This window comes from Homo sapiens, chromosome 1, assembly GCF_000001405.40.
Source record: "Homo sapiens chromosome 1, GRCh38.p14 Primary Assembly".
NCBI lineage: Eukaryota > Metazoa > Chordata > Mammalia > Primates > Hominidae > Homo > Homo sapiens.
Window position 1 is genome coordinate 177035877 of NC_000001.11, and position 22685 is coordinate 177058561.

Below are 22685 nucleotides of genomic sequence, written 5' to 3' on the forward strand. Positions count from 1 at the left end.
TATTTTATGTTCATTTTTCTTAAAAACATAACTTATAGGGAGCTAGAACAGAAGATTTGTTTTGCTAAGCCAGTATATTTAGCTTCTCTAATTTTGCTTTAGTAAAAAACGCTTCCTCTGCTTAGAGTCAGTGACTCTGGATGGGATGACCTCAGCTTTCTTTTTTTTTTTTTTTTTTTTTTTTTTGAGATGGAGTTTTGCTCTTGTTGCCCAGACTGGAGTGGAGTGCAATGGCACGATCTTGGCTCACTGCAACCTCCACCTCCCAGGTTCAAGCAATTCTCCTGCCTCAGCCTCCTGAGTAGCTGGGATTACAGGCATGCACCACCACGCCCGGCTAATTTTGTATTTTTAGTAGAGACGGGGTTTCTCCATGTTGAGGCTGGTCTCAAACTCCTGACCTCAGGTGATCCACCCGCCTCAGCCTCCCAAAGTGCTGGGATTACAGGTGTGAGCCACCGTGCCCGGCCGACCTCAGCTTTCTAATAATCAGTTACCAGGAATAAGCTTCAGCCAATAGGTAAAACTCAGCACAAGCATTTGAAAAAGGATTCTCAGGTACTCAAGTTGTGGTATGGGTTCTCTGCTTCTGTAACTCAAATTGGTGACAGATGTCAAAATACTTTGCAATGGCTTACTAATTGTGGACTATTACATAAATAATAATATACTGTAATGTGATGTGACATTAATATGTGACATTATTTAATAATATTTTGTAATAATTATTTGTAAAATCACTACACATAAATTTCTCTGAAATGCTCTACCTGCTTGAGCAGGTAGCACGTAGGAAGAAAATATAGGCCCACCACTACACTAGGAAAAGGCAGGGGTCTAGCCACTTTGGTAACTGTCCTTCTACAGTGAGGACTTGGCTCACATTCAGTTACTGTTACATTTTTCAATAAACCATAGGTCTTGGATAATTTCTTTCTTTTTTTTCTTTTTTTCTTTTTTTGAGACAGGGTCTCACTCTGTCACCCAGGCTGGAGTGCAGAGGTGTGATCTTGGCCCACTGCAACCTCCATCTCCCATGTTCAAGTGATTCTCTCACCTCAACCTCCCAAGTAGCTGGGATTACAGGCATGCACCACCATGCCTGGCTAATATTTGTATTTTTAGTAGAGACAGGGTTTGACCATGTCGGGGAGGCTGGTCTCTAACTTCTGGCTTCAAATAATCCACTTGCCTCGGCCTCCCAAAGTGGTGGGATTACAGGTATGAGGAACTGAGCCCAGCCAATTTCATTATTTTTAATCTTACTACTTTTGCAGAGAATTTTAAGCAGTTTCAGTAAATATCATGGATACTGTAGGATTTTCCTTTCAAAGAGTCTAGCGAAATGAAAAGGGGGCAGATGGAATGGAAAGAAACCCTAGGCCAAAGACTATGGCTGGAAGCATCCTGATAGCCAAGTCGAAAAGAGAAAGGCGAGATGCACATATCTCACACAGCTTATTGGGAGCAACAATTGTCCTCTGGATTCTCAGCTCCAAAAAGACCTCTACTCAACATCTGCTCATGAGCACACTGAGAAACAGAATGGGCAGTTATCACACACACAAGGCTTTACAGAGAGCATACAGAAGTTCTTCACATGCACATGTCTTGCTTTGAGTTTCTGTTTTACCCTAGCTGTGTTCAGAAAGTATTCTTCATTTATTTGTGTTAGCTCCAATTTTTATAGCCATTGGAAAAACAAAGACAAAACATTACAGTATATCTGGATTCAGGCAACAAGTAACAAGTTGTAAACTCTGAACATTAAAAAAGAAACACTGACTGTAAGCACTGGCTGCAAAACATGGAATTGCTTTGCTCATTATTCATCTTTGCATGAATTTTCTGATTATTCTATTGATTTTTTTCTCAAAACTGTTAACATTTGGTAACTAGAAGTGTGTTTGGGGTATATGAGAAACCCACATCTATTAACGAGTTCCTTGCAAAAAAATGTGGCATTTTAAAATACATTTTTCTTTTTAAAAATCAATAAATCATTTCTACTGGCTGTAATAGATACCACACAAATGAAGTCAGCTTTTATTTTATTATGAAATTGACATTTTCAGCACTTACTTAAGAGAATAGTATGAGATTTGTCAGATAATTTGTAGATTTTAGAATTTTTATGTAACAATGTGTTACATAACATTTTTGGTAATTGCCGAAGGATGGAAAATTCTAAGCAGATCTCTCCTTTATGCTTATCCCAGTCCTCTGGACCAACCACAAGACTGTCTCATTATCTGACCTGTATATTCATCCTGGGTCCTGGGTCATACCTCCCTCCTTCAGCTAACTCCTACTCATCCTTCAAAGTCAGTTCAGTGACACGACTTCAGCTAACCCTTCTCTAGTCTCACTGCACTTTCCATAGAACCCTCCACATAACTCTAACCACAAGTACATTTACCTTTGATTTTCTTGTCTATCTCATTTGCTAGACTATAGGGGGCAGGGGCCATGGGGCAGAGGCCATGTCTAATCTATCTCTTTTATAGCTCCAGGTTAAAACGCAGCGCCTGGCATAAAGCAGATGGTCAATAATTGTGGGACAGAGGAAGGAAGGGAGAGGAGAAAGAAGAAATAAAGAGGGAGGAAGGAAAGAAGGAAGGGAAGGAGGGAAGCAAAGAGGGAGGAAGAGAAGGAAGAAAAAAGGAAGAAAAGGAAGAAGCATCATCAACTTTCAATATATTTCAATATGGTCATCTTCTCTGTGCCTACAAGCTAATCTTATATAAGTCAGCTGCTTGGGTGACTCATTTATTCAATTTATTACTAAATCATTCAATAAACACTTACTGATACCTACTTTAGCAAGGCATTTTTTTTCAGTGGTCACTGTTATGAAGATAATGCGGTGAATAACACACGTATGGTTCCTGATCTCATGGAGTTTATATTTTAGTTAAAGAAATTAATCTACATAATTTGGTTTTTAAAGATAAACACAGGCATAAAAGGAAGACAAAAACAGATCACAGGTGCTGGCCCATCATTACTTCTCTTCTTCAAACCAAAGAAACTGGTAGATGAAGATATCTTGGGCTAGAGGTAATACTCTGGTAACACCCCCATGGACCAGTGGAATCCTTCTCAAATCAGTGTCACATAATCAATAAATCTTCGAATAAAAGAATCTGGATCTATTAAATGTCACCAAGTTTAGAGAGTCACCTGGGCTTTCTGAACCCTTGGCAGAGAAATGGAAAAGCTGAGATTATGCTTCCAGCTACCATCTGTCAAGAGACTACAGCCAATCAATCAGCTCACATTTCAAAGCTTACTTTTACCTTAGGAGTAAGAAGAAGAGGGAATCTGAGACAGAATTAATTACTCCTCAAGGCAACTAGACATACTGAATTCAAATTATATTCCTTGAGGAATTAAATAGTGGTTACAAAATAGGAATCACATACAAGAGTTTGGTAGCTCATGTCTCCTGTTTTGTCTAAATACCAATGACCCAAGGTCAGGGGTAAACACCCTCTCTCTGATACAGCAACAATCACTTATATGTTTTTCTGGATATCACTCATATCTTTTATAAGAGGCAGAACAAGAACAGAAAACTGTGCAAACCCACATGGAAACTCTGGGCATATCCTAATCTAGAATCAAAATGTTCCAGGGATAAGGAATGGATAAAGCAGTTGGATAACTTCTCAAGGTCCCTTCTGATCCTGTGATACTACGGAGCCTACTGGAAAACTAGACTTAAATTACTAGCAACATGAAGAACCCCAGTAAAATAACAGGGCTAAACAGCTGTGTAATTGTATGCAAATTGCAGAGCCCCTTTGAATCTAACCCAAGCCTTCATTGATAAAATTCAGTGATTGTAAGAAATGCATGACTCTTCCAATCTGAAAATTTTCTGATTGTAACACTGATCCCTGTCAAACAGGAAATGGCTCTACATTGGTAAATTAAGGGTAGATAAAATGTGCATTCTTCCTGCCCAGCAAAGTCACAAACCACAGACCAAGGAGATGATGGAGCTGGCCCACTAGAAGCAGGTCATCAACCCCAGTTAGCCAATGATCTCCTCACAAGCAGATCCGCTCTTCCCCAATTGCACACAAAGACCTCTGAAATGAGTGGATGTCATGAAAATTGTGTTAACACATTATTGACCATGAAGATCCCTTTCCTGCCAGAAGGAGTTGCCCAAACTGGAAGAGAAAATGCCCTTGCTTCTCTGGCAGGTTCTCTTTTCTGTGGTAGTTGGTGAATAGAAATCCATTATCCCCTGCCCATCTCCTTCGCAGATGAAAGGCAAGTGAAAACACTTTAAGCATATTAAGTAGCAAGTTTGATTTATAAATTATTAGGAAGATTACCTCCTCTTGGGGGTTTTCTGAAGTCTTTAATCGTGTGGAAAGGCTTTCCAGTTGCCACGGGCCACTAAGTTAATTAAGAGGCCTCAATATGTCTTCTGGGGCTCCTGGTATGAATTGCATGCCCCACTGGCAGGGCCCAGCCCGCGCTGCCTTGTTAACCTCTCACTGGGGCAGTTACTACTGCTGATTGCTGCCTCAAGATGCTTCAGCATCCCCTTCCCCCATGCCCCTAGGACCAAGTATCCAAGGCTTAGGAAAGAAATAGGATATTCCCCCAACTCTGTCTCAATAAAATGCCATTGGTGGGTAAATATAGGGACTAGGCAACCTTCCACAAACAAGAGGCAAAGGCTAAGACCAAGAGTCTTCCAAGGTTAAGTAGGTTGGTATTTGAGTCCTTCCAACCTAAAGAGGCTATGTTCTTCTCAGGAGGAAATTCAACTCTCTAGCTTTTTAATTACTTTTTAATTTAATTGTGTTTTATTTTGCTTCTCCTAGCTCTAAAAGTTTTAAGACCATTAGGTTTGATCGTCTTTCTTCTTTAATCTGGAAAGTTTGTCTTCAATTCCTGTATGAGACTTTAGGAGTTTCGTCTAATGAGAGCCTGAAGCCCTACAGGGACAGTGGTTGGAGGCTAGTGTGCTGGAGTCAGCCTGGGCTATTTCAAGTTGTACTCTTTCAGATTCTGTTTATAGAACTGCTTTTTTCCGTTCTTGAGATTTTTTTCTTGCCTCAGACCCTTGACTCTGTCATCCCAAAGAAAAGCAAAGGAGTGCATTTGTCTGTGAGCTGCTTAGAGATCTCTCATCATTAGTAGCTACAGTTACCTGTTGTTTGCCTTAACGAGAATGTTAAGGCCAAGCAGGGCTGGGTGAAGCAGGATGACAGAGAAGCAGCTCATCAAGGGCTGGGTTTTCAGCCCATAGATCCCTAATTCCAAAGACTGACCTAGACCTCTGCAGTGTAGGAGACCAGTAAGGAATCAGGCTACCTGGGGAGAGCTCAGGTCCTTCATCCCTCTGGATGTAGACGTAATAATTTTCTGAGAGATGACATCATGGATGGCACCCCAATCAGCATCATGTGTTAAGAGGCTGGCCCCACATATAACCCATGTGTATGGATATCAGTGTGCATGCACACGCACAAATGTGTGTATTATGTACAACAGATAGGCTGGAAGATAAAAGGGTCCACAAGGAAGCAGAAGCACTCCAGGTCTCTGTCTCAGCAACTCATGGGCAGAGCTGCATGAGACAGGCTCCCTCCATGGGCTGTGGGCACCAGCCCTTCAAAACTTCACAAGCCAAGCATGAAGCCAATAAATAAATATCGCCAGCTGGATAATGCTCAATGTCTATTCTGGGCCACGTTCCTTTCCTCCTTTCTTCTTTGTTTTTATGCAGTAGGTGATCTTGATGAAATAAAATAATAACAATAATCTACTCCATTAGGATCAAACATTAAGGGAATTATTGAACAAGTAACGGAAGAGGCAGCGGGTGCAGTATATGCTAATGACCATTAGACTTTATCCCTGTTTTTCTCTGATCATAAAGGAGTTGTTTAATCCCTCTTTCTCCCATTTCCTCAAAGTCAGGCAGCCCAGCTTAATGGGGGAAAAGAGGTTCTCAGAGAGCTGATAGCTCCATAGGTAGCAACTGGGGCTGAGTACATGAAAATCAACAGCATTAAAAACTAGTCACTGCAGGAAGACCTTATGCAGGGCATGTGTAGGAATTCCAGTGACTTCAGATGTAAACAGCCTATAACATAGTTAGTTGGGAATAGGAGGGGAAAGAGGGTCAAGATGTCAAGATTTCTCTGAATTTGGCACATATTCATCAGTATCACTATCTGAACCAGGGAAGACCCTGAAGATCCATTTCCTCTCCAGCTAACACTGAGATGGATCCTTAAAGGCTGCACTATTCAGAGATGCCTGAGAGTCGGGGTGGAGGTAGAAGGCCTTTCACATGGAGTGTGGCCTTGATCATATTCTTGTCCCACATATAGAGGTACAACTTGATTTTCATGAGTGCCGTGAGATCTGGTGTGACAGGATCCAGTCAAGTATTCAAGGATCCTGCCCCGTTCTCTTTTACAGTGGGATTTCCAGCAGCACAGTCCCTAGCCTGGGAGAGGTAAAGATCACACAGCTGATGGTTAGTTTTGTGATGATCTCAAAGTCCACAAACCACTATGAAAGAATTAAGCATTTCTCACCTTCCTACAGTTAATCCCATTACATGTGCTTAACTCTTCCTCCAAACTCCTGCCTCATTCTGTTAGTCTATTCACACATTGCCTTATTCCTAGAATACTGGTACAATAAAGAAGTAATACTAATGATAACTACTGTTTATTGTGTTTACCACATGCCAGACATAGCACCTAATGAATTATACTCATTATTTTATTTAGTCCTACCAATAAGTATAAGTAGTAAAAATTATAATTTCCATTTTTAGAAAGTAACTTATCCAAGTTTACATAGTAGTATGAGGCCAAACTAATACTCAACCACTGACATTAATGATGTTGTTTTATGACCGTGTCACATAGAAAGAAGCCCACCACTGTGGTCTGGGCTCTAATCACTCAACTTCCCATTTTCTTTCAATTAAACCCCAGATTTCCTTGCTTCTACAACTAACTCTCAAGGTTATGCAAGTGAGGATCCCTAAATGTCTACACTTAGTACTGTCTACACTGCCTGTCCCAGATACCTGCAATCTTCTCCAGTTAAGCTTGATCATTGGATTGGCCAAATACAACATTTTAAACAATAATTTAACCAATATGGCCAAGGAGGGTCACACTTGTCAGGTTGTCATTTTGACACAGGCAGCAAAAATTCTGTGGAGATATCTGCAGCCTTGGGTAGATGTAAAGTGAAATCAACTGTCCTCAGAGTCTGAGAGTACAGACACTCAACCATTTCCTTGAGAACAGTCTGGCACTAATGCACACAGACTCTGGTCTGTTTGTTCTCTGTAAGCCCTGTTCTGGGATGGGAGACCTAAGAAGAACAATAAACATTTTCCACAATATAACAACACACATATAAACAGACTGGGGAGAAATGTCAGACTTAACTTTCAGGGAAACTAGGAACTTCATTACAGTCAGGTCACACAAAAAACACTGTGCTAGCTGATAGATTTGGAGAAGACAGGAGAAAGCCCACGGGCCATGTTTTGCATTAGAACCCAAAAGATGACAACGGCCATTCCCAGTGCAAGTCATTTAATGCTAGTCGAAAACAGAGGTTAACAAAACTTGTATACATTGCTTTGTGCTCATAAGCTTCCTCCAACTGGTAACTGATTTGACCCACTACAGAAAATTCTAATCACAGGCCCCAAATTCTAATCAAAACCCTGGGAGAACAATGGGTAACCATGGTCTTATCCCTTGTACCATTCCAGCTGTGACTCAATCTTGGCATCCAAGTAAGATGCACATTAGAGCTCAAGAATTGTAGCAAAGGGAACAGAAGAGGAAATTAAGGGCTGAGAGGAGACGCTGACGTACGAACACGATTAGAGCATCATATGCCAATATCCCTTCCAAGCCCTTCATTCCTTGCCAGCAAGCTTTGTCTGGCATCATACAGGGGAAGGAGGAGAAACCCTGGCAGTCAAAAAAGTCTTCTTTGGGGCCCCACACCGAGTGCTGTGGCTCTTATTTCTCCCTCTTTAAAAAATTATTAAATTGAATTTTTTTCTCTGGAACTAATCAAGCACAAAATCTGAAGAAGAGGCCTGGTTTGTGAAGGCAATCACTGAATGAGGTACTGATATTCTCATTAGGACGGGCTTCGTTAAGCCACCAGCTCCAACACCAGCAGCATATTGTCTTTAGCTAATTACATTTTTTGCTGGCAAAGCTACTGTACAAGTCTTCAAATCCTTCCCATCATTAATTTTAAGAAATGAAAAAAAAAATACACACACACACACACACACACACACATACACACACACCCAACTGCCCTGTCCTACCTCCTCTCTCCCTGGCATCCCACCCACCCATAGCCCCAGGCTGTCAGCCTTGTTTTTCTGTTTTTTCAGGCTTCCTCTCTTGTACTGGCATTTGTTGTTGTTGTTTGTTTTGTTTTGTTTTTTTGAGGTGAGGATGGGGGTTGTGATTGAGTGGGGTGCAGGTAAAGAGTCTGTTACTTAGGCCTGATTTCTTCACTAGCTGACCATGGCCCCCTCTGTTCCCAGCAGAACAGCCAAATGCTGGTTACTCCCGCCAGGACCTCGGGCGCAGGCCTGGCGCTCACCAGCCAAAGATGGGCTGTAGCAAAGGGAAGTTGGAAATTGAGCGGCAGCTCTTCCCCACCTGCCAGGGAAAGTGACAAAAGGCTCAACTCTGCTATTGTTTGTCAGGTTTTGATTTGCTGATGAGTGGCTCGATCATGCAGGGAATCCATAGGTCAGCCAGAGACATTGGAGTGATACAAAGGCAGTCAGGGGTTCTTGCTTCCAAGGCAACTGACAAGGCCGACATCATCCGCTGGGCCAGTTGCCTAATTCTGTACCTGTTTTCCTGAACCCATGGGGTCATTCCCAGCCAATCTGCAACATCATTATAAATTAATTCAAATCATAGTGTTCACAGAGTTTCTTCTTTCTACATTTTAATAGTTGTGATTTATTTTTTCTATTCTTAACATTCAGTTCTGTTGTAAGGGAGAGAGGGACAGAAAGAGAGAAAAACAGGGGAGGGAGAGGAAAAGGGAGAAAGAGCAGGCATGGGGTAATAGGTCTTTTTTTTTCTGCCTATCCCTGAACCTTTGTTCTCTCATTTCCCTGAAACGTCCTTCTTTATATCTCCCCTACCTATGCCCTTTCTGTGCTTTCAAGTCCCAGCACACATCTATCTCCTTCCTGAAACCGACTTTGATTACTCTGATCCATAGACATATCATTCTATTCCAATTCCTAATGCATATGTGGACATTTCTCAATTAATCCTTAATCCCTAATTCTGTTGCTCCCCATATCATGGCTCTGACTGGACTTGCAGGCAGAGACCACATTCTAAATTCCTTCCACAGCCCCAGCCTTAGCAGAATGTCTAGCACGGGGCTGACACTCAGTGAATGCTACATGGCTTGATTAACTCCAGGGAGGCACATTCCGCTGGCTTGCTAAGGTTGACAAAACACAAACAGCATTACGTTCACACTATTGGTCAGTTCAGACTGAAGACCTCCATCTGAAAATCCCTCTTCCTTCTTTTCTGCTGGCTCCTAGATAGCTCTGAGGGGCACTCCCTTGGTCATGGAGTCCTCCCAGGAGAAAGTGAACTACAGTCAGGTGGTGGTTTCATTTCCCATGAGGATGCTCAAATGCAAGGTGCATGATACATCACCCAGAGGATACGGCTATGTTTTTAGAGCGTGTGAGGACTTCTCTTCACCCAACCTCACTCTAGCTCCTACCTTTTGGTGTCTTTAGCCAGCATTTGTGAGACAGCTGAAGGCTCACTTACAGTGACAGATTTTTTTTCTAGTAAAATAAACTAACCTGAACGTTAATCTAACTGTTCCTGCTCCACCCCTTAGAGGTCTGCAGGAATAGAGTATCATCACCAGAGAAGTCAAAACTTGTAATCACATTAAAAATGTCTATTTAGAATCTAATTATATCTACAGACATGTAGCTGCTACAGACACATGCTTTACAAAGTGAATGGGGTAAAAATAAAAGTACCTTCTCTTTGAAACGAAAGTGCTAATTTTGCATTTATATTTCTGTTTCTGCAGAGTGACTACAGGTAGGATGGAGAAGTTCTTCTTAACTTCATTCTATAATTGGGGAAATTAAATTTGGCTTAACAGGAGAACCAAACACTGTCAGGACCAACACTTTTCCATAGTTTTTTCTGCCACCACACCATGAGAGATACAGGCTACAAACCGGGTAGACCCCATTGGCACACTGAAGGCTCAGTGTTCCCCTGGCACCAGCTGTAACTCCAATTTTTTCTCTCTCTCAGTCAGCAAAGTATAACACAATGTAAGTTGAGTGAGAATGACCTTATTATAGGTCATTTATAACTTTGACTCCACTCTAATGGAGAAAAGAAAACCAGTCACAATTTTCAGCACTTTACCTATTATTAGTATCAAATGCACTTGGCACATCTTACAAATGATGCAGACAGACCAGCCATCGTGACACTGTAGTAGAAGTGTGAAAGCAGCCACTGAGGACAGGAAAATGAGGAGCTGTTGGCTTTGCCCAGAAGGCTGAGTCAGGGGCTTCCTGGACATTCGGGCTCTGGGAGGGGCCCTCTTCATTACAGAACACCATGTGGTCCCATCCCACCCTTTATACCATGCCTCGTGACACTCAAAACTAAAGTTCCCACTCTGAAAACCTTTTATAGTAATTTTGCTCAGTATCAACTTAAAAAATTATATGTATACATGCACACACATGCAGAGGGAGAGTGAGATGGCCTCATGATCTAGCCACTTCTGGTGTGTGTGACAGCCTTCCCCTAAGGTTCCTGTTCCATGAATATGTGAAGGGAGGAAGAGATGTGAGGGTTCAGTGGAGAAAAGGGAGCCACAGGACCAGAGACGAGGCCTGAAGAGAACATTTTGCTGAAGATCTTACAGGACAGAGGGGAAAGTGCGCTGACTGATCACCTGCTCCCCATCCCAACAGTGCCACTGACCAGCCATTCAGCCATTTAACCTCTTTGAGCCTCAGCTCTCCATATTATCAGACTTGCTCAGCCTTCCTTGCAAGGTTGTCTGTCCATTCCCAAAGTCCCTTTAAGCCTTTTAGCAAAAGGCCAGGCCCTTGGCTAGGATCCGGAGAAGCATAATCCCTCCCAGCAAGGAGCTTACACTCAGGGGAGATAGGCTTATGCACAGGTAAGGATGATGCAGAAATATGCACCAGGAATTGCATGAAACTTCTTCACCCAGCCCAGAGAGAAAAGGGGGTCAGAAACACTTTCCTAGAGGGAGTCATGGGGCAAAACTGAATTTTAAAAAGAGTAGAAAGAGGTGGCCTCACTCAGAGGAGAGGAAAGACATTTTCAGCCAAAAGGCCAGCATGAGTGAAATCATAGAAGTATTAAATAGCAAGGGAGGTCCACAAAATATGACAGGGAGGTCCAGAAAATATGACTGATTGTCAGGGTAGCTCACAGAGGGGAAGGCAAGGAGTGGAGGAGATGAGGGTCAGGCATGAAAGGTTTAACACCCTGGAAGTTAGCCTTCTGAATGGAGGAACCTACTCAAGGTTTTCCACTAGGGAGAGGACATAGTTCAAGCTGCATTTTATTAGATTCAGCCTGATGGTGGTTGAAGGGAATTTTTTTAAGGGAAACAAGGCAGAAGACAAGAGTGAAGAGGATGGAAACCACCGTATCAGTCCAGTGAGAGGTGAGGGGGGTCTGCACTCATAGTGGTAGTAGAGAGGGAAAGAAGAGAGGTATTCTGGAGATGTTTACAAAATAAAATGAGCAGAGCATGGTGAAAAGGAAGGCACAAGAAGAGGATCCCATGGCCATGCTGGGCATAAGGACAGTGAGTCTGCAGGTACAGAAAGTGGAAACATGGGTAATAAGAATGAATGGGAAGACTGAAATCCATCTGTCCCTAAATAATGAAAATGCGCTACTTGTTTAGAAGACCTTCAAGTGAAGTAATTTTCCTTTGTTCCTTCTCTTCAACCCTAGTGACCTGGAACGATCAGCTAGGTAAGGCAGCATTTAACACAGATGCCGATGAAAATTTCTGGATGCAAAATACAGGCCTTTGAATGCACTTACAGTATTATACAGGAATATCTACATGGCCCACTTCCCACTCTTAACTTTTTTCATTAGATGAAATCAGGTGAAAACGAACTTCAGAATCAAGCCTGATCAAAGAGGCAAAGGAACTCTCAAAGGGCGGCCGCCAGAGGGGCTCAGGATGTAGAAGAGGAAAGCAAGAAAGAGGTAAAGGCGCTGAATCTCCAGTACCTCGGACGAGCCTCTCCCTCCTAATGGCAACATGGGACTGACTTGTCCTTATCTTCCCCTGATTCAGGGACTCTCCTGAGAACCAGTGAGGCTGGCCCAAAAGGGGAGTCTGGGAGATGCCCTGCAGGTCCCAGCATTGTTAGTCAGCAAGGCAGAGTCCACCATCCTACCAGAAAGTTCCCTTCTAAAGTAAATACTTTTTCCCCCTTAAGGCATAACTGTTATCCTGGGAATGGGGCAACTGAAACAATCACTTCCATAAGAAAGAATTATATTATATAAAGGCTGGCTGGGCTAGACCTGCCAAGAATCACTCTGCCTCCGGCTTTACCTGAGTCATTTTAGGGAGGAGGATAAATGTCTCCTTCCGGGAGTATTCAAAGGCCTCCAGAGGCAATTCTGGGAGATTTCCCCTTCCCAAATCCTCCAAAGCTGGAGGCTGAAGGCTCTTCCCATGGCTTGCTCCCTAATGTGGGGGAGCCACTCCATCCTAAATCAAACCCAGGAGGCTCCTAGAGTACTTCATGCTAGCAGAGGCTAACAGTATGTCTAGAGAGACTCGCTGGAGACACAGAGGAGCAGAGCCAGCTGAAGGCAATGGCTCTGAACCAGCAATTCACAGACCAAAGGCACCTGCAGAGAGCCCCCACTGGGCCATGTGAAGGGTTCAAAGTCACCAGGCTCCCTCCAACAGAGCAGCCAAAGATTCACAAGGGGATGTGATAGCTCCCTCCCAGGATGGAACTTCTTCCTTTCAACTCAACCTGTATACAAGCCTGCCAAGCCCAGCATACTGCCCATAGACCATCACCTCATACTCGTAAATGGAAAAAAGAAAAGCAGAGTTGCTGCAGGGAATGGAAGAAAGTTTTTTCATGCATTTCTTTCTGTGTCAACCAGGGATTGCTAGTGTCCCATATGTCCTTCACTTTCACATTCCTAGAATGTGGGAGCTGAAGGCAACTTACAAGTTCAGCTAGCCCAGGACCCCCAAGGCACAGGACATAGCCCACCTATGTGCTCCTGGTATGGGTGTGCCAATTGCTGTTAAAGGGGTGGGACATGTTTATGTTATCATTTATTTGTATAAAATACTATTTGCCTAATCTGTATTGAAATAATCAACTATAACATCAAACCCCTGATTTTATTGACATATTTCTCTCAGATAAGTTTAAATTGAAAAAGCAAGTCAATTTAAATAAAAATATTCAGATAATACTAACAGAGGTTGCATAAAAATATGCCAATAAAACATGAACGCCAAAGTTTTGAGAACACTTATCTCATTCCAGCCTCTCCTATGTAGATGAGCAAACTGAGGCTCAGGAAGGTCAAGGAGCTTGCCTGAAGTTTCACATGTTTTTGAGAGAAAAAGGTCCACAATCAAAGCTTCCTGACTTCAAATCCAGTAGTCTTATCCCAACATTAGGCTGCTTGCCTCATCAGCAAGCTTTCGTCACAAGTGAGAAGAAGAAGATGTAATGCAGTCTGTGTGACGATAGCTGGGCCCACGTCACTCTGCTTTGAAAGCTACAAGCAGAGCCCTGGCTGGGACCTGTTGGTGTTGCCTTATCCGAACCCAAGGTGGAGTCCAAGGAGGGTGGTCCTGCCGTGGAAAGACTGGGGGCCTCAGAGGCCGAGGCTGTTCACTCTGAGCCACGGAGCATTGAGGAAAGAGGGGCTGGGGATGGTCACAGCCAGCTGAAAGCCCAGGGATAATGACTGGGATGTATACATTCCATGACACTTAGGAAATAAAAAGAGAATGAAAGATGGATGCTTTAACATCATAGTTGGGACACAGAGCTCTTCTAAGTTGGTTATGTGTGATAGTTTACCTCACGTAAGAATGTATCTGAAACCCACAAATGCCAAATCATGAAATGTTCACTCTTACAAATCCCAAGGGCCTATATATCTAAGTCCCGAATCCTTCCCACTTCTTCCTCAGACAAGATGCAGACATGGAGGAAATGAAGGTTGAATCCTTTCATAAGCATCTGATGATTGATATCCCATATGGATCTCTCATATAGCCCTATCTTCTTTATGGTATTAGGGTAGCAGAACTCACCTCTCAGGCCACCTTAAGCAGTTATACAAATCCCAAATGTCAGAATTGGGAGCCAAAGCCCAGCAGGCCCCAGATACGATTCTGTGAAGCACCCACTACTGTCAGCCATAGTACAACATATTAATAAACTGACATCTGATTCATCCCAAGTTAGAAGGCTACTTGACTCATCCTTTGCTATTCAGGGACATCAGCAGCAGTGATAGAGGTATCATCAGGAGAGAAATCATAAATAGCAAGGCAGCAGCAAGAGGCACCTGACTTTCCTAGATTTATTATAGAGAGAGACCCCTTGCAATCTTGGGGAAGGCTACTGACATCTGCCTCTCACACAGGTAAGCCATTTAACAAACTTTAGCAGATACTTAAATGTGTCACAGCTAATTTTATAAGGCAAGGCTAAAAATGCTTTGTTCACCCTAAACTTTATCAGCAAGACCAAGAGCTACCATAAACTCTTAAAGATACGTAACAGTCCTCACAAAAACCAACTTTATTATGACATCAATGTCTGGAAGCATAATCCTGCTTCTATTCTTACATATTTATATGAAGCATTTTTCTACAAGGGGGTATTTTAGCATATCCAGGCATGTCACACATTTCTACTGTGTACTCAAAGTTGAAACCAAGCAGGAGCCATCAGACTCACAGGGAAAAAAAACAGCATATTTGCTAATAAGTATCCTGTTTATACTTTTCTTGTCAAGTCGAAGCATAGTTTTGTTTTCATTAACATCTGTCTTTGCTAAACTCATCAGTGTCTCTCAAGAGAAGCTAATGTGCTTGCATTTCACCTGAATTTGTGAATACCACATGTCTTGAATTTCTAGCAAGAACAATTTTTGTCAGTGCCTTAAGTGACAATTATAATCAATCTGTGGGGGTCTGGCTAAAACTAGCAAATTATTGTCTTTCACACTGCAAATAGAACCCTAAAGCTTCCACTCAGTTGTTAGGTTGTAGTCTTTATGTGGGTTCTGCAGACAAAATGAGGAGAATGTACTAGATTGAGGTCAGCAAACCTATGGCCTCCAGGCCAAATGTGGCCCACTGCCTGTTTTTGTAAATAAAGTTTATTGAAACACAGCCACGTGCATTCAGTTATATACTGTGCATGGTTACTTGGGCACTACATTGGCAAGAGATGAATAGTTGAAAAAGAGCTTGGATGGCCTATAAAGCTAAAAATGTTTAACATCTGGTCCTTTATAGACTCCTGGCCTAGATAATTCCTGCCATTGTCCATATTAGGGTTTTCTCCATGGACACATGGCTGGCTACATTTACTATACCTAAATCTAATTTGTCTCCAGCCAAGGCCCATGGGTATGAGTTTGTGATCAGATTTAAAGATGACCTCGGGTCTGTGAGACAGACCCCAAACTTATGAGATGGGCAGAGGGTGGGTGAAAGATAGTGTGATCTGGAGAAAAGGTAATGGCATCAGGACTCAGAATCTCTGAGTTCTTACATCAGTGCTGGCCATGAGCATCACCCACTACTCTAAGTCTTCTTTTTCCCATTGTGAATGAGAGTAATAACAATCTTGTATGTGTGGATACCTGGGCAGTGATGGAATTCCCTAAATGACATCACGTGGTTTGATTAAAAAATAAATTAATAAATGAAGTTCTTCCAGAGAAGTTGGAGCTGAAATTATCACCCTAAATCATAAGATACCTGGTAGGTATCAGATGTCAATTATGAGATCAGACCTCAATTATCATCCTAAATCATAAGACGCCTGGTGGGAAACCCTGTAAACAATGAAACAGAAGTGACATAACAATTCCCTGAATGGACATGACTGCATCCCAGCTTTGTAATGGCCCTATTCTATTGTCCTGATATCCCTAATTGCCTCGGTCTTTTCCCTAAGCACAATCCTCTAGGACTCCTCTGAGAGGCTGCCATGATCACAGATGCTTTTCTGACTCTCTAAGCTGGTGGCCCCTGGGTCACACATTGTATGCAAGATTGTTACAGGCAGCTTGCATGGCCCCCCAAGAGTTTACTGAGCTAATATTTAATGGGTACTTCCCTATAGGCCAGGCACTACGGGAAGTGGTTTATAAGAATCATCTCATTTAATAATTAAAACAGCCCTATAAAGTAGGATTTATTATTCCCATTTTATGGATAGGGAAAGTGAGTTTAGAGTGATTAAGCAATTTGTCCAAGGTCAACAAAAAGATCGAGTAAATGGCAGAACTAAGATTTAAATTGGTCTCTCTGAGAGCAAAGCCCTTGCTGTAAACTGCCTCACTAAAATTCAATACCATACAACTATAGTCTTGGTTGGTTCTCAATGACCAGCATCTTCTCAGAGCCAATCTCAGGCTTCTTTGCAATATTTGGTCTTCTTGCCCGATCCAGCTCTTCCTTTACCTTTTGAAGCAGCTCATAGACCTCACCATGACAGCATCTTGTACCATTCTCTATGTTCCTTCCTAATCTTCAAATAAAGGGTTTCTACTGTACTAGCTAAAAGAAATAAAATTATTCCATAACCTGGAAAATTGGAGAAACTGTCCAACTCTAATACCACCAAGTAGCAGAATTGTGTAGCAGAGTCAAGTTTGGAGTCAGATACACTTGCCTTAAATCCTGGCTTCCTTTCTTACAGCCTATGTGACTTTGGGCCTATAATTTACTTTCTCTCAGTCTCAGTGTTCACATCTGAAAGATGGAAGAAATGATAGCTATTTCAAAAGGTTGCTATGGAAATTGATTGATAGTATGTATGCAAATGATCCCATACAGTGCTGGAGACACAGTGAGGGCTTAGTGAGCAATAGCTTTATTACTATGAATATTACCAGTTTCTAATATTGATTGAAACCTCATGGAAATTATGACTCCTGCTTTCAAAAGGATCTTCAGGGATTTCTGAAACTGAGTAGTTGAAAGTAAATTGCTAGCTTCTATATCAAGTGAACTAGATTGCTGAACAGAATATTACATCAACTTGTTAAAAAGACATCAGCATCCTTTTGAAAATTTGGCCTCTTAGCTATTTTTCTTGCTATCTGCAGAGATGAGGGTAGCATAAGGCCTCTGTGAACTTCAGGAAAGAGAAAAACAGATTTGCAAAGAAGATGTAAAGACTGAAAAGGAGTGGAAAAGATGATGGAAACTCTACTTGTCTCTCAGTTCTGCCAAGGGCCCTCTTCAAATAGTAAGCATTAATAATGTGATTAAATGCTCCCTGAAAGCAGAACTTTGTCTTATTCATTTCCTATCTACTTAGTAGCTAAAAAAATCTGAAGCCTGAAAACAGTGTTAAATAATCAATATCTAAATGAAGGAATGAGTCAATGATTTTAAAAAATCAATATGTCAATAATGCTTTGAAAATACTTTTCTAGTTTCTAAAAATTTCCCGCAAAAATGCAAAAGTTTGTATATGAAGAAGCTAAGTTCATTGTTACATGACTTTCACAATTTTAGAGTTAGAATTCCCCAACTACCCTTTTCCCTTCCCTGCCAATAAACCCACCACCAGCTGTGAGGTGGTGTGACTGAAGCCAAGGTTAGCAGGTGGGATTAGCCAAGCTGAACAGAGTCTGAGCTTCTGGGGTTAGCTGCCTGGTGTAGCCACGGAAAGAAAATTTGTGTTCCATCATGGTTGTTGGTCCTAGTGCTTGTAGCGTTATTAGTGTCAAAGTAAAAATGGAGTAAAGTGTCAGATGAATCTCAGCAGTCAAAAGTCAACAAAACATCAAAAGTTGGTGAAATGACACATACTAAATATATATTGTGTGCTCACTATGGGTCAGGAGAGGAGTGCTTCTCAAAGTATAGTATCTGGACTCTGTGGACTGCCTTGATTCAATTCATAGTCCTGCAAACTAATAGTTGTTTACTTTTAGATAAATCACATAGCCTGTTATGCTCAGTCCCCTTGTCTGCAAAATGAGTAATAACAAACCCTACTTTATGGTGTGGTAAGAATAAAAAATAAGTTAAAATATATTGAAAGCACTTGAAACAATGTCTAGCACATAGTAAGTGCAAAACACAATTTTGATGATGATGATGACAATGATGATGGTGTCTATGTTATATTTTGATTCTCCTAACATCTCCTAACATCTCTATAAGTTAGGTCTTAGTCTGTTTGTTGTACTGAAAACAAGAAATCGTGAAATCAGTTTTTCAGCCTCTGCTAAAGGAAACGGCTCTGACCTGTGCGTGGAGCAGGAGTGTACCACATAAGCCCACCTCCCCACTAAAACCACCAGGGGAAGGCTAGGATCACATTCACCTGTGGGATAACCTGATATGAAAGCTTTGAACAAACAGGGGCTATGGTAACAAATTAGATACATCTGCTTCTTTCACTAAGGAGTTAGAATAAGGGAGGAAGGCAGGACATTTAACAGCAGTGGGAACAAAGCTGGAAACACTGTGAAGCTGTGAAAAGTCAGGACAGGTCATGAGTGAGGTGACTTGATGAGTAAATGGAGTGTCAAACACATAAAAGCTTTGCAATTGAGAAAGATTTATAGAATAGACTAGACAAAGAAGCTAATTCATAGCAAGAGGAGCAATAGAAACAGGTGTGAAAGAGCCAAACCACAAGCTATGGAGGCTGAGGGCTGATAAAATCACTCAGATCCTCAACAACTTCCCAGTTCCAGCCTTTGTGAAAATCTGCCCTTTGAATATACTTTTTAAAATCAGGAGAGTGTTGTCTCTTTTATCTCTATATAAATTTCTGCAGTACAACTCTATTACAGAGAAGGCCTCAGTGGATCTTCATTCTCTAAAACTAAAAAGCCTGACCAGTGCATTCATTTTATAGGTGAGATAATGAAGCTTCCAAAAAGCGCAGCAAATTACCTAAAGTGGTAAAGCCAGCATATGAAGTCCACTCTTCCAACTGTAAATCCAGCGTGTCTTTCTGCTACATCTCAGCTCTCACTTTACTAGAATATGAAAGGGCACCAAACAAGAACAAAATAGATGAGCAACCCAAATGGTGAATGAATTCATGTATACCTATGCCCGACGCATCTTGACAAGAGATGCAGGGCATTCCATGGTGCCAGGTGAGGGATGTTTGTAAGCCAAACCTTAGTTGGCACTTGACATGGTCCCCAAATGGACCCTGGCATCTCCAGGCTTTTGCACATCAGCGTTTCAGAAAGAAACAAAGAGCAAAGAGGTTTTGTTTCAAGAGATCTTACTGATTATCTTAGGAACTGCCCACAGCTTTCCTAATGGAAGGTAAAATACACAGTGATGGCCCTGGCATGTGGGCAGTATGACCAGTAAGTCGGTTCAGCCCCATGAAGGATGGCTTGAATTGCAAGAAAAGTCTTCTTTGAACTGAATCAAGACTTGTCTTTTTGTACTTTCCGACTTATTACTCTATCTCTGTCCTTTCTGGTAACATACAATATGCCTAAATGTCTCCATTTGTTGCTTAAAGATGAGAAGGACTGGTCCTGATAAATTAGAGCATCCTAAGTTGAATGAAAAAAATACTACAAATTGACCATAAAGATGCAAAAGTGACCTTGATTAATGAATTTGTTAATGAGTTTTTGTAACAGATCTGCTGAAGGCAAAAGGCGCTGACAAAAAAGACATCTAGCCCTCTCTCCTGTGCCCACAGACACTTAATAAGAACCTAATAGTGTTGATGACACACAGTGACTGCCACACTTGGAACTGCTCCTCTCTACATTGGAAGCGGCTGTGCTCTAGGTATGAAATGAGGCACGGCTTCAAGCAAACTCACATGCGATGCTCAGGCAACTGGACTGAACTTGAATGTAACAGTAAGGGCAAGGATGAGGCTTTGGTAGAAAGTTGTTATGCAGCACTGGAAACATGATCCTGGAGGCTCCCATAGGTGTCTTCTGTGGGTTCTGTACTGACTCAGCCCCAAATACTACTTTTCCACACTGGAACTTTCCCACAGTGCCCATTTTATTTGCTGGACTCTGGGACTGTATAATGGCACCTGCCTCTTTTGTCTCCAAATCTTGTTCCCAACATTGTTTCTCCCAGGAGTGAACTCTGTACCTTGGGTTCACCTGGAGATCCCAGAAACAGGGAGCCTGGGGGCAGGCTAAGGCCTCTGATGGCAGCCAGCAGTAGAAGGCCATGGGGGCCTCCAGATACTGGCCAAGGAGCCACAAACAGCTGGGGCTACTAAGATTTTTTTCCCCACAACAGTGACTAAGAAGGCTGAACCACAAAAGATATTCTCTACCAGTGGGAGTTATCAATACAGAAAAATTTCATATATATATATATATATATATATACACATATCTCCAAAGAATTTTAGAAAGGCTACTTGCTGTGAAAAATGTACTTAACCAATCCATATGCATATAGGAAATCTATTAACACTGCCATCTTTAATTAAAGAGATGAAATATATAGACAATACATTTAAATTCTACTGTGCACCATTAAACTCGTTTGCGTACTTTAAGAAGAAAAATGTACACTGTATGGTAAATTAGCACAAGTACAATAAGAAAATTTAAATCCACACAGAGTCTGAATATCTGACATGAAGTCATATTGAAACCTGGTCTTCTATGGAGTAAACCATTTGCCTTTTAACTGACGAATTGCTTGACTTTTGGTTTAAACTCACACTCAGTTTTCATTTGCTGATTCTGCTTTCATTTGTTGAAGAGTTTGCAAAAGAGTATCTTTGTGTACTTTCATAGTTCTGAATGTCAACTATCTTGCAAAATTTGAAATAAATCTCTTCAGCCAAGTTTGAATCATGCAAGGAGGTTAAAATACATCATTTGACCCTCAAAGCAATAATGTAAGATTTCAGAAGGGAAATCCAATTATTCTATGCAAGGAAGAAATGGTACCTCTTTGGAAAAAATAATTCAAAAATTTTAGGATGTGATTGAAAAATAAGAAAAGCAAAAGGTTTTTCAGTTTTAAATTGCCGAGCTCCCAGCTGGGGAATTGGCTTTCTGCAAGCCCACAATTTTGCTGATGGTCGATTTATACTGGGCATGGTATAAAAGAGAACTTGCAAATTCTCATTCATACAATGCCATAAGGGTCCAAAAAGGTTTCTTTTACTTCTCATTCTCTAATTTCTTATATTTTGTGTTAAAACAAAACATAATATATGCAAAATATAGAAATAAACAGTGGTCTCTGCATTGAGGAAATATGGATAAAAAAGTATACATACAAAATGAGAGAAATGTAAACTTTAAGGTTTTCATAAAACCATTAATTCCCTCTTGCACATATTGGAAATAGTTAGGATTATTAGTTAAGCTTTTAATTATACATTTTCTTAACAGAAGAGGTTGGATGTATTCATGTTTCGATAATCGCTTTATCTTTTCTCTTTTTCCAATTATGCTATTTTGATCTAATTTGAAAACTGTATCAATATTGATCATTAGAGTTAATGAAAAAATAGTCTTGCTATTGTTATTTCATAACTAAAGGGGTTTTGGTAATAAGATTTAATTTAAGTGCATTTCACTTCTCAATATTGTTACAAATCAAAGAATTTTGCTATCTTCTGGCTTTTGTAATGCTGTCATCCAGATGCCTCAAATAGCTGCCTACCTTTCCTCCAAAGGGTATGGTATAAAGTGTGTCAAATAAAGTCTACCACCACTTGAGTCTCTTAGGAGGAAGCCATCAGAGATTCTAGGAACAACATCTTCAAACAGGATACCCTCAGGCTTTATTTCTAAGCTGAGGGCAGATACACAACTTCAGACTTTGAAATTGTTTCTAGAATAGAATCCTAAGGATGAGAAATGCAGTGTGTGGGGTGTGTGTATGGAATGGGAATTGAGGACAATGAGACGGCTAGGTGGGCTGCAGTAGGCTCCACTAACCAAACCATCTTTGACAGGGAAAGGAGCGGGTAGGGAGGAAATATTTATATCTCCACTTCATCCTGAGATTCCTGTTCTGTGGAAGTCAAAGGCCTTCCTGATTTTTTTATGGAGATGTTGGCCTGTCCACATACAAGAGGCCAACCCAAAGACAACACAAATCTTTTGCACCCTTACGTTTGCCTATGCCCTTTTGTCCTCTGTCTCTTTAGCCTGGTTAAAAATAAAAGAGAATAAATTAAAATTAAGCTGAAGGAATAATCTCTTCCATTTTATTTGAAAAATAAAATGTCATAGTGGTCTGCCATTGGTGACAAGTAGCATATGAAGGAGAGGTCTCAGAGATAAGTTTAAAGTTGACTCTTGTTCTTTCTCCATTTCAGTGTCCACTGTCCACTA

The 22685-nt window shown here is 41.3% G+C and overlaps 1 protein-coding gene across 7 annotated transcripts in view, besides 2 other annotated features; it reads right to left on the reverse strand.

The window, feature by feature from the left end:
- Positions 1-22685, reverse strand: part of ASTN1 (astrotactin 1) — a 307392-nt gene that overhangs the window by 178556 nt on the left and 106151 nt on the right. The gene's annotated exons all lie outside the window — the stretch shown is intronic.
- Positions 8467-9031: an enhancer, noted in NCBI's record as "OCT4-NANOG hESC enhancer chr1:177013479-177014043 (GRCh37/hg19 assembly coordinates)". NCBI's record gives its function as "activates a minimal SCP1, AML or CMV promoter by ChIP-STARR-seq in primed H9 embryonic stem cells {active_cell/tissue: H9 hESC(primed)}" and the evidence as "EXISTENCE:reporter gene assay evidence [ECO:0000049][PMID:30033119]".
- Positions 12644-13344: an enhancer, noted in NCBI's record as "OCT4-NANOG hESC enhancer chr1:177017656-177018356 (GRCh37/hg19 assembly coordinates)". NCBI's record gives its function as "activates a minimal SCP1, AML or CMV promoter by ChIP-STARR-seq in naive and primed H9 embryonic stem cells {active_cell/tissue: H9 hESC(naive and primed)}" and the evidence as "EXISTENCE:reporter gene assay evidence [ECO:0000049][PMID:30033119]".